This window comes from Homo sapiens, chromosome 16, assembly GCF_000001405.40.
Source record: "Homo sapiens chromosome 16, GRCh38.p14 Primary Assembly".
NCBI lineage: Eukaryota > Metazoa > Chordata > Mammalia > Primates > Hominidae > Homo > Homo sapiens.
In genome coordinates this window covers 77178573-77190873 of record NC_000016.10, presented here as the reverse complement: position 1 = coordinate 77190873, position 12301 = coordinate 77178573, and the positions used below count along the sequence as shown (strand labels likewise).

Sequence of the window (12301 nt, the reverse complement as noted above, 5' to 3'; positions counted from 1 at the left end):
GACCGTCTTCTTTCTGGGCCAATCGAGATGAGCCGCCTCATTTCCCCGCTGTCTACTCCCCCCGCCAAATCCTAACCAATACTGTGCGTTGTGTTGCGTTTGCACACGCCCATCCATTGATTGACGTCTCCCTCGACCCAATCGAAGACTCGAGCCTATTCCTTGTTTCACAAGAGGACTTTTGCAGCGTCAGTCCCGATGGATACCTGTGCCGGACCCACAAACGGGCTCTCCCAGAACTGAGGCAACTCCACTTTCTCTTATCCCTTAACCCTGCCAAGAAAGTCAAGGGAGGGGAGAGGCGCGAATGCTTGACGGGCAGTCGCCGCTTCTAATCAGCGTGCCGCGCCAGCAGCTCCGTACCCTGCCGGGTTCCCACGTCTACCTGCAGCTGGGGGAAGAACTCTGCCAGCCCAGGGCAGGGGCGGGCACTCACTTGGACCAGGACCTGCCCGACGCCCCCGGTCCGCCGGGCGAACGGGTCGTCACTTTCTGTGATCAGTTTGGGAAAAGGCTTGGGGGCCCTGCCACGGGCCAGTGTGGGAACCCAGGGTTCGAATTCCCGCCCCGACGCTGCTTCCGGACCGAAAGCCCCCTGAACGCCTTGCCCCAAGTGCCCTGGGCCTTGGTTTCTCCATCAGTGAAACAATGATGGGAATCGCTTGACGTGAAGTGAGTGGAGGTGCTGGCACACTTCGAGTGATTGCTAAGGGGAAGCCTTTGGTACTAGTTAGGATAATTATTTTAATTACAGTATAGTTAGGGTAATGAATTCCAAATACCAGTGTAGCATCATGTGCTTTATATACAATAGGTAATCGATAAGTAATAAATATTAAATTTATATAACAGAAACAATGGATAAATTTATGTGCATACAAAATATATTTACCTAATACATTTAGAAGTATATAATATATAATAAACATGTAAAAAAGTACAATAAAATAACATCTCATAAGCAAACTTATTTATTAATCTCGCTGTGTTACCCAGGCTGGAGTGCAATGGCAAAATGTTATTGACTCATTGCAGCCTCCGTCTCCCGGGTTCAAGCAATTCTCCTGCCTCAGCCTCTGGAGTAGCTGGGATTACAGGTGCCCGCCACCACGTCCGGCTAATTTTTGTATTTTTAGTAGACATGGGGTTTCGCCATGTTGGCCAGGCTGGTCTTGAACTCCCGACCTCAGGTGATTCACCCGCCTCAGCTTCCCAAATTGCTGGGATTACAGGAGTGAGCCATCATGCCCAGCCCAGGGCTACACACTTTAAACAACCAGATCTCGCAATAACTCCCTCAGTCACTGTCACCAAGAGGATGATGCTAAACCATTCATGAAGGATTCACCCCCAAGATCCGATCAACTCCCACCAGACCCCACCTTCAATAATGGGGATTACCATTCGACATCAGATTTCGGTGGGAACATAGATCCAAACCTTATCAGGGGAGTAGAGGAATAGTTACGCCTTCATCTAGCTTTGTCAATCTGCATTTTTACCTCAGAGGAAGCAATCAGATATGCATTTGTTTCAGGTGAGCAGAGGGATGACTTGGGGTTCGCTCCTTTGTCTCGCACCTGTGAAGATAAACTATCAATTTACGTTGTCAGGGTAAAATTCAACAGAACCGTTTTAGGGTAAAGATCTTGCAGCCCACAAGGAATCCCTAGAGGGCAAATTATGAGGGAAGTATGTAGCTTTATCTTTGTAAATATCTTATTTAGGGATAAACTGGGAGGCAGGTTTGCCTGATGCAGTTCCCAGCTTGACTTTTACCTTTGGCTTAGTAATTTTGGAGTCCTGAGATTTATTTTCCTTTTACACCTGCCTTGTATTTCAACAAAACCATATCACAATTAGGCTCCTTTTAAAAATTCTTGCTGATGTGCTCTGTGAACTTTAAAGATTGTTTTCCAGGGAAAATGGCAGAACTAAGAACAATTGTCACACAGTCTCTTATCTGAAACCCTTAGTGCCAGATGTGTTTTAAATTCACACATTTTCCTGATTTTAGAAATGAAATTAGGTGCATGTGCCATGTATTATATAGAGCCCAGCAAGGGACTGGGAAACACCTGATAACTAAACTCATTTTTTCTGAGTGAAACTTTTTATTACTCCCAGTAAGAGAAACACTAAACCGTCTTATGTTAGTTTAGTTCAGGTTTTACCTCCAAGTGAGCTTTTAAAAATTATTTTTCTGGAGCTTTTTGGATTTCAAAACTGCAGACGTAAGTTTATGGAGCTTTATTAGCATTCCGTGTTTGATGATTTGCCACTCTAAACAATTTCTACAATCAAAGATGAGAGATGGGAACAAGTGAAGGAACATAGAGCCATCTCTGGTGTGTCTGCCTTTTTTTTTTTTTAATCAGAAAAGCAAAGACCAAAAATATCTCAACAAACCTCTCCAGTAGATTTTAAGTTATGGCTCATGGCTTGAACTGCAGAGTGTTTACAAATTGTAGACACACACACAGACACAGAGTTTTTTTCTGTTTGTTTTTTTAACAGATCAAAGATGTCTTTGTGACATTATATATGTTTATACTTCCTGACTTTATGGACACTGTGTAAGTCCCAGGTAATCCCAAGCTACAGATGAGTCTAAGAAAGGACGTAAAGGAAAACACAAAATACTGCCTAGGACTTAAGGACAGGAACTCAGTTAGACCCTCATGTTAAGCCTGAGCTTGATCTCTTACGTACCATTTCTGTTTGATAATAAAGCGTCCAATGTCAGGCTGGGTACAGTGGCTCATGCCTGTAATTCCAGCACTTTGGGAGGCCGAGGCGGGCAGATCACAAGATCAGGAGTTCGAGACCAGCCTGGCCAACATGGTGAAACTAAAAATACAAAAATTAGCAGGGCGTGATGGCAGGTGCCTGTAATTCCAGCTACTTGGGAGTCTGAGGCAGGAAAATCGCTTGAAACCAGAAGGCAGAGGTTGCAGAGAGCCAAGATTGCACCACTGCACTCCGGCCTGGGCAAAAGAGTGAAACTCCATCTCAAAAATAATAATAATAATATTAATAAAATAAATAAATAAAGCACCCAACCTTATAGCTAGGTGAGTATCCAACACCCAGCCCATGATCGAAATCTCAGGCTGTGCAATCACCTGACATCCCATAGTTAGGTGCTCATTCTTTACCAAGGCCTGGTCCCAAACCTGTTCAAAAGAAGAATCATTAACTACAGAAGAGAGGATAGATTTATTTCAAAATCTTACACATCTGTGTAGTGTTTTTTTTTTGTCCTATTGTTGCTTGCCAGATGCTCTGTAGAGCATCCTTATTTGCCATGGACAGTTTGACAATCTATGGGTCTGCTGGATCATAAGCCCCAAGTGGTGGATTAGCTTAACCTGCAGTCTGAACTCACTTTCTTTTGTTCTTCTCACTTGAAATCTACAGGTAATTCTGTAAATGAGTCAAAGTCACACACTGAAATGTGGTATGTGTTGCTTCCAAAATCTAAAAGACTTTTACTATTGTGGATAAATAGTAAAGTATATTTTCTCATTTAAGAATATAATTGACTTATCTAAATGCAAAACCGATGTATTGTGGGGTTTATAATATTTGTAGAAATAAAATGTGTGGCAGCAATAACACAAATGACTGAAGTTATACATGATAGCACATTACTTTAAGGCTCTCACATTTTACATGAAGAATTATTATTTGAAGATATATTGTGAGGAATGAAAGAAGCATTTTGTTGACATGGGGAAAAAAATACAGAAATGCCAAAGAAATTTAATGCCAAAGAAATAATAGGCCAAGAGTTGAGATAAAGTGGAATACTAAGTGTATGCCATCCAAAAGAAAGATGAAAAAGAGGAACAAAACAATAAAGAACAGATTGGACAAATAGAGAACAAACAGCAAGATGCAAGACACTAATTCAACTATGTTAAAAATTGCATTAAATACAAATAAATAGTAGAATTAAAACAGAGATTGTCCAACTGTATATAACATCAGGGCCTAAATATAGGCTCACTACAAGATCTCAATGTAATTATGTGGTCTGTAAAAATATAAATGGGCCAGGCGTGGTGGCTCATGCCTCTAATCCCAGCACTTTGGGAAGTTGAGGTGGGTGGATCACTTGAGGTCAGGAGTTCGAGACCAGCCTGGCCAACATGGTGAAACCCTGTCTCTACTAAAAATATAAAATTAGCTGGGTGTGATGGCATGTGCCTGTAATCCCAGCTACCTGGGAGTCTGAGGCAGGAGAATCAGTTGAACTTGGGAGGTGGAGGCTGCAGTGAGCCAAGATCATGCCATTGTACTCCAGCCTGGGCAAAAAGAGCGAAACTCCATCTCAAAAATAAATAAATAAATAAATAAATAAATAAATAAATAAACACCAACAAAAAAAGGGACTCCTGTAAATATACAAAAAAAAAGCAGATCATTTAAAAGTAAAATGTCAAAACATTTTAAACTATGAGATAATGCAGGTATTATAACATCTGAGGGTCTATGTTACTATCAGAAAAAAATACTTCAAAATAAGAAATATTAAAACAGGACATATCATGATGATACAAAGTTCAAGAATATGTTTTCATCCAGAAGACACAACAATCCTAAATATACATATATGAATGCAAAACTTCAAAATACACAAATGTCAAATTGACAGAAAATAAAGGAGAAATAGACAAATCCCTAATTATAGTTGGAGATTTCAGCACTCCATGCTCAGTAATTGACAGAACACTAAGGTAGAAAACAAGAAAGGGTATAGCTAATGTGAACAACTATCAGCCAAATCAACTTAATTGACATTTGTAAAAATACTCCTCCCAATTATAGTAGAGTATACATCCTTTTAAAGTGTACATGGGACACTCACAAGGTACAGCATATGCTGGAAGATAAAACAAGCTTTAATACGTTTTTAATAAGTAAAATTATAAAGAAGGTGTTCTTCGATTACAATAGAATTAAAATAGAAATTATTAACAAAAATATCTGTGAAATCTCTATTGAAAATTAAGACAACACACTTCATATTGACACGTGGATCAAATAATAAATCTCGATGGAATATTAGAAAATATTTTGAACTGAATGAAAATAAAGACACAACAAATAATTTGGAAGATACAAAGCAGTGCTTATAAGAAAGTGTATAACTACATGCTTATGTACATAGGAAGAAATGCCTATAATCAATAGTCTACATGTGAACTTTAAGAAGCTGGAAAATAAGAAGGAAATTAAACCTGAAGTAACTAAGAAGTAAGGGAATAATAAAGATAAGAGTGAAATTTGGTGAGACAGAAAACATACAACCAAAAGAGAAAATCAATGCAACAATATATATATTTTTCGAAAAGATCCATAAAATTACTGAAACTTTTGCTTAAATGATAAAACAGGAGACAAATTACCAATAGTAGGGCTGAAAGAAGGTAACATGATTAGAGATGGCATAGACATACATGGGTAGTAAGAAACTACTATGAGCACTTTAATGGCAAAAACTTTGAGAATATAGAGGAAAAATTACTGAAAGACGCCAATACAAATATTTATTCACAAGGAATGGAACAAACCTGAGGGCTCTATATCACTAAGTAAATTAGATTTATAATTAAAAGTTTTCCCATAAAAATTCCAGGCCTAGATGACATCAATGGTGGATTCAAATATTTAAGTAACAAGTATTACAAATGTTGTATAATTTTGTTCAGAAAAGCAAAAAAAGGGAAAAACTTTTCAACTTTATAATTTGATAATTACCATAATAATAAAACTATAGCAAACATTATAAAAATGAAAAAGCAGGTCAAATTTCTTCAAGAATATGGATTCAAAAATCTGTAGACTATTGAATTCAATATATTGACATATCAAAAGTGAAGAAGAATATCACAAAATTTGATTACTATTCATTAAAGACATTCTTATCAACTAGGAATAAAGGAAAATGTACTTAAGATGATGAGAACATGGAAGAAAAACCTGCAGTTAACTTTAGCCTTTATGGGGAAAGACCGACTACTTTCTCCCTAAGATTAGGGGAAAGTCAAGGATGTCTGTTATTGTCACTTTTGCTCAAGATTACATTGCATATTTAAAGCTAGTATAAATAGAAAAAAAAGAGAAATAAATAAAAACCCCTAAATATTAGTAATGAAAATATCTCTTTTATTCTGAAACAATATGGCATTGTATATAGACATTTTAAGTTATATACATGTGACTGTAACAAGGTTAAAGAATACCAAAATCAATTACATATGGATATACACACAGCAATAATACAGGTAGATACATACACACACACACACAGAAAATTAATGAAGGAAAGGAATATGGAATCTTAAAAGATAAATACCATATGCAATAGCATAAAAACTTAAAATACTTAGGAATAATTATAATGATATATATGCTTATATAATTATAATAATACATATGCCTTAATTATCCACTGTAAAATCATTTTTTTTTTCTGGAGGAACTTAGAAGATTTAGTAAATTGAGATATTCACTATGTCCAACAATTGGAAACTTCTCATTATCAAAATATAAATTCTCCCTAAAATTATCTACTGAATTTTACATAATCCTAATATAAAACCTAGAATGGTTTGTAAAGACAAATTACAAAATTATTTTGATATGAAAATGCCAGTATTTTAGAATAGCCAAGACGTTTCTGAGGAACAAAGATAGACTTAAACTACATTATTTTAATATTTACTGTAAAGCTAAAGTAACAAAGATCACGTATTGATGTAAATATAAATATATAGATCAATTTATCAAATCACACAGTCCTGATTTCTCCACACCTGTATGGTTCAACAAAGATACCAATCTAATTAATTGAAGAGATGCTAATCTTACCAACAAATAGAATTGGAACAGTGGACATTCACATGGAGAAAATGAACTGCAACCCTTATATAACACCATACAAAAATTTAATTTACAGTATATTATACAGCTTAACATAAAAGCTAAAATGGTATTTCTTGTGGAAAACATAGAAGAAAAATTCTACAATCTTGGTGTATATATAATGATTTATTCGTTTTGTCACAAAATCATGAATCATCAACCAAAACAATGAGAAACTGAACTTGAAAAATATGAAAATCTGCTCAAGACAGTGTTAGCAAATGAAAATGCAAGCAATAGACTGAAAAAATACCTGTGCGCATCAAATAACTTGTACCCATAATACAAAAATTTTAAAAGGACATATTAAACTCAATAATATGAAAGCAAACAATTCAATAAAAAAGATTTAAACAGAAACTTGATCAAATAAGACACAAAAGGCCAATAAGTCCATGAAAAAATGCTTACCATAATAATCAGTCCTAAAAAGGCACATTGTATCTAGAGTAAGAATTGACCACATACTAGCTAGAATTGCTAATATTTAAGAAAAACTTACAATACAAATTGCTCGAGGAAATTTGCAGAAACAAACTCTTCCCCATTGCTGGCAGGAATGCAAGATGGTGCAACTTTGAAAAATGCTTTGGTAGATTCTTATGAGGTATAAATACACACTCTTACTGCATGACTCACCCATTTTATTCTCAGGTATTTACCATGAAACATATGCCCACAAAATTATTTCTGCACACATGCTAACAGCAACTTTCTTTATAGTAAATAAAAACTGGAGAAAAGCTCCAAATATCCAACAAGAAGATAATGGACAATGAATTGTGGTATATTCATAATACTACTCAGCAATAAAAACAACTGAACTATTGATACGTATAACAACAGCATGAATCTCTAAAGTATTTTGCTGAGCAAAACAGCCAGATACAAAAAAGTACACACTTTTTGATTCCATTTGTAAGAAATGCTAGAAAAAAAATCAAATGTATTTTGATAGAAAGCAGACCAGTGTTTGTCTAGTGCAGGGGCTAGGGAGGACTTCAGCAAAGAATCACCAGGGAGGTTTTTTATTTTTGTAAAATTTTTTTCTGAGACAGAGTCTGGCTCTTTCGCCAGATTGGAGTGCAGTGGCACGATCTCGGCTCACTGCAAACTCTGACCTCTGGTTCAAGCGATTCTCCTGCCTCAGCCTCCCAAGTAGCTGGGACTACAGGCCAGTGCCACCATGCCCAGCTAATTTTTGTATTTTAGTAGAGATGGGGTTTCACCATGTTGGCCAGGATGGTCTCGATCTCTTGACCTCGTGATCTGCCCGCCTCGACCTCCCAAACTGCTGGGATTACAGGTGTGAGCCACCGTGCCTGGCCTATTTCTCTTTTATTTTCTTAAAGTGTTTGTGAGTGTATTATTTCTTTCGTAAGTATTCATTTGAATTCAGTTAAACAAACTATTTACATTGTAAAACCAATTCAATATGCAAAGTCTGTTTCTTTAATGATTTCCATGCTATTGAAATTTTGTATTTATTCTTGAGTGTATTTTGGTAATTTTTTTTTTTTAAATTTTGTTTGTTTGTTTAGATGGAGTCTTGCTCTGCCACCTGTGGTGGAGTGTGGTGGTGTGATCTTGGCTCACTGCAGCCTCCACCTCCCAGGTTCAAGCGATTCTCCTGCCTCAGCCTCCTAGCTAGGACTACAGGCAGTTGCCACGATGCCCGGCTAATTTTTAAAAAATATTTTTTAGTAGGGACAGGGTTTCATGATGTTGGCCAGGCTGGTCTCGAACTCCTGGCCTCAGCTGATCCACCTGCCTCGGCCTCCCAAGGTGTGGGATTACAGGCATGAACCACTGCATCTGGCCCTCTTTTGGTAATTTTTATTTTTCAAGGTAAATTTGCCCAATTCATCTAAGCTTTCAAATTAATTAGCATAAAAATTTTCTTAATTTTTTATTCTACTTTTATGTATGTAAAATCTGTAGTGATATTCTTTTATTATTCCAGATAACGGTCATCTGCACCTTTTCAAATTTCTCCTTGATTAATAAACCTAGTGGGTTGCCCTTTTCAAAATATAACCTTTTGGTTTAACTGAAATTCTCTAGTTTTCTCTCCTTTGATTTGTACTCATATTTATCTTTTTCTTAAATTTCATTGTAATATATACTTCGTTTCCAGCATCTTAATGTGACAATCTTAGGGTTGCTAATATGAAATCTTTCTACTTTTTCTAGTTTAAGCATTTAAAGCTATAAATTGTACTCAACACTGTTTTAAGTCCTATTCCACAAATTTTGAAATGTTTTGGTTTTTTATTCAGTACAAAATATATTCTAATTCCCTCTGTGATTTCTTCTTTGTTTTCTGTGGGTTATTCAGAAGTGTGCTGTTTAACTTGTAAATTTCTGAACATTTTCAAATAATTTCAGTTATAGATTTAATTCTCTGTGATTAGACAGCGTAGTCTGGATTATTTGAATCCTTTTATATATTTGAAATTTATGTCATAAAATATCATCCCTATTGGAGAATGTTCCATTTGCAAAAGAAAATAATTGTTATTCTGCTGTTGATCATGTTGATTGTGTTGTTTATGTTTTCTAAATACTAAGTAATTTTCTGTTTATTTTTATAAGTTACTGAAGGGAGAAGCTGAAATATCTGATACGTCTAATATATTTAATAGGATGTATTTCAGCAAACTCAGGTTAGTAGCTTGAGATTGGCAATGAGATGATGAAAGTATTTACACCATAGAAATTGGCAAATTGTAAAATCCAAGGCTGTCCACTCCCATTCTTGGGAGTGCTGATTGTTAACTAGCACGGCACTGGACAATTCCTACAGAAAAGAAAGAGGAAACTCACTTCCAATTGCCCCAAGTCACCATGCTCCTCCTTACCTGGTAACTTTTAGGGTATGTGTAAGACCTCTCAGATGGTGATCTGGCCTGGGCCTGTGATGGCAGGCGAGAGAGTAGTAGAATGAGCAGACGTTCACTGAGCACTTATTATGTTGCCCTCCCAGTGATATTAACAACAGTAGGGGAAGGCTTGGCTTCTTGTTTCTCCAGCACATTAGCTTCTTTCAGTTCTCATTATGGTAGTGTGGTATTGCGTAGTATTTTATGTAACACTTTTTTTTTTTTTTTGAGACAGAGTCTTGCTCTGTCACCCAGGCTGGAGTGCAACAGTGCAGTCTCGGCTCACTGCAAACTCCACCTCCTGGCTTCAAGTGACTCCTCTGACTCAGCCTCCCAAGCAGCTGGGACCACAGGCACACGCCACCACGCCCAGCTAATTTCTGTATTTTTAGTAGAGACGGGGTTTCACCATATTGGCCAGGCTGGTCTCAAACTCCTGACCTTGTGATCCGCCTGCCTCAGCCTCCCAAAGTGCTGGGATTACAGGCATGAGCCACCGCGCCTGGCCTTTATGTAATACTTCTAAGTTGCCTAGTAATCCTTGGTCTTTGATTGCCTCATATGGGTGCATTACGCAGCAAGAATTATCTAACTCTGGTCTACTTGTGCTTGTTCCCATCAGCCACGAATTTTGGAACCAAGACGGATGGGGACATTTTGTCACACTGGTTGGGCATATGTACTGACTTGTCACTGCATCATCTAATCTCTCATCTACTACTTTGAGTGTCAAGAATTAGCCTTAGTTGCACCACAAAATTGCTTTATGATAAGGAAGACTTTCTTATTCAGTTCTTTCTAAAAAATTAGGAGGGATTTTTTTTTTAAGCTCAGAGAGGGGAAACATCCCTTTATAACTATTGAATATAAAACAAAGTTAAACACATGTTTACATTCAGTAAAGCTGGTTTTGAACACCTAAGCTCAACTTTGAGTTGAGAAACTCAGATTTGACCATTGTGCTATGCTTTACCTAAGGAAGAGTAATTAAGGTAACAGCAAAATTACTAATTAATTGTGTAAATACACTAAAAGGTGAAGAGTGTTAGGATGTTTAGATTGAGTGACAGAGTAAGTTTTGTTTAATGACTAAAACAAAAACATGAGGGAGATATGAGGAAAGAAGTTTTAAATTTATTTTCGGTTTGTATTTTTACATTAAACAGTTTTTTCATTTTCTTCGTTGACCATAAGAATAGTGTCCATACATCAGTAAATAATTAAAGTGTAACTTATTAAGTGCCTAATATAAATCAGGCCATGAGGAGCAGGGAACTAAGACAATTTTTGCCCTTAAAGATTCCAAGTTAATGGAAGGGCATGTGGGTGGTGGCAGGTGGCTAGGAAGTATATCATCTTAGGGTCACAAGTGCAGTGGGGCATAAAAGAGAGACATTTTATATGGTCTTGGGGTGGGATAGGGCATGAGAGAAATTTATTCTTTTTTTTTTTTTTTTTTTTGAGACGGAGTCTTATTTTGTTGCCCAGGGTGGAGAGCAGTGCCGTGATCTCGGCTCACTGCAACCTCCACCTCCTGGGTTCAAGTGATTCTCCTGCCTCAGCCTTCCGAGTAGCTGGGATTACAGGTGCCCACCACCACACCAGGCTAATTTTTTGTATTTTTTAGTAGAAACAGGGTTTCGCCATGTTGGCCAGGCTGGTCTTGAACTCCTGACCTCAGATGATCCACTATCCTCGGCCTCCCAAAGTGCTGGGGTTACAGGCGTGAGCCACTGCTCCCAGTGAGAGGAATTTATTCTAAGCTTAAAATTTAAAGAAATATGCAAAAAGTTGTAATAAGAGTTTAATAGTTAATCTTTAGTTTTGATGGAATCAGCTCTAGAATAGGAGATAAAATGGACTCCATTTCCATTTTACCTATCTATAAAATAAAAAGAACAAGTGAACAAAATTTGACATCTTGTTTCTTTATAAAATATTTTTTTCTATTATAAAAGACATAAAAAAATAAAAGACACATCAGAAGAGAGGATTTTAACAGTCAAAAGATAATAGGGACCATGATCATAACAAACAAGAACAGGTGAAAAAAAGTATTAAGAAAAATTAACATTCAAAATTTAGAAATAAAGCAAAAGATGAGATCCTGTATTTTCAGTGTCAAATGAAGGTCACTGTTAAGAGGTCTCATCCAAGGATTATTTATTTAAGACAATGCACCTGTGTTTAATTTTGTTCTTTATTGTTTGATGGGAACATTGATAATATAATTTTGTGCGTTAAGTTTTAGATTTGTTTGATCAGAACTCTAAACGCTAAAGGTGACTGTTTCGTCATCTTTAACATTAAGCGGGTTTGTATCTATTAACAAATTAATTTTCACATTCCATTGAGTGACTATTTAAATTTCTGTTCCTTAAATTCTAAATTGAAGATGAGGTGTACAAAGGAATCTTTGTATGTCTTTATTTTATGTTTATATGAAAATCCTGGTTTTAACTTTTTGAAATTATCCTTTGACAAAA

At 36.5% G+C, this 12301-nt stretch overlaps 1 protein-coding gene across 1 annotated transcript, besides 1 other annotated feature; it reads left to right on the top strand.

The window, feature by feature from the left end:
* Positions 308–966, top strand: LOC124903725 (uncharacterized). Its single transcript, XM_047435021.1, has one exon. It carries the CDS (start codon positions 308–310, stop codon positions 650–652), a length of 345 nt encoding a protein of 114 aa, XP_047290977.1. The 3' UTR covers positions 653–966.
* Positions 9995–10195: a silencer, noted in NCBI's record as "peak2646 fragment used in MPRA reporter construct". NCBI's record gives its function as "represses an SCP1 promoter by STARR-seq MPRAs in K562 erythroleukemia cells {active_cell/tissue: K562}" and the evidence as "EXISTENCE:reporter gene assay evidence [ECO:0000049][PMID:32103011]".

Excerpts from the sequence above, each read along its gene's own strand:
- LOC124903725 (XM_047435021.1), top strand. The coding sequence starts at position 308 with ATGCTTGACGGGCAGTCGCCGCTTCTAATCAGCGTGCCGCGCCAGCAG.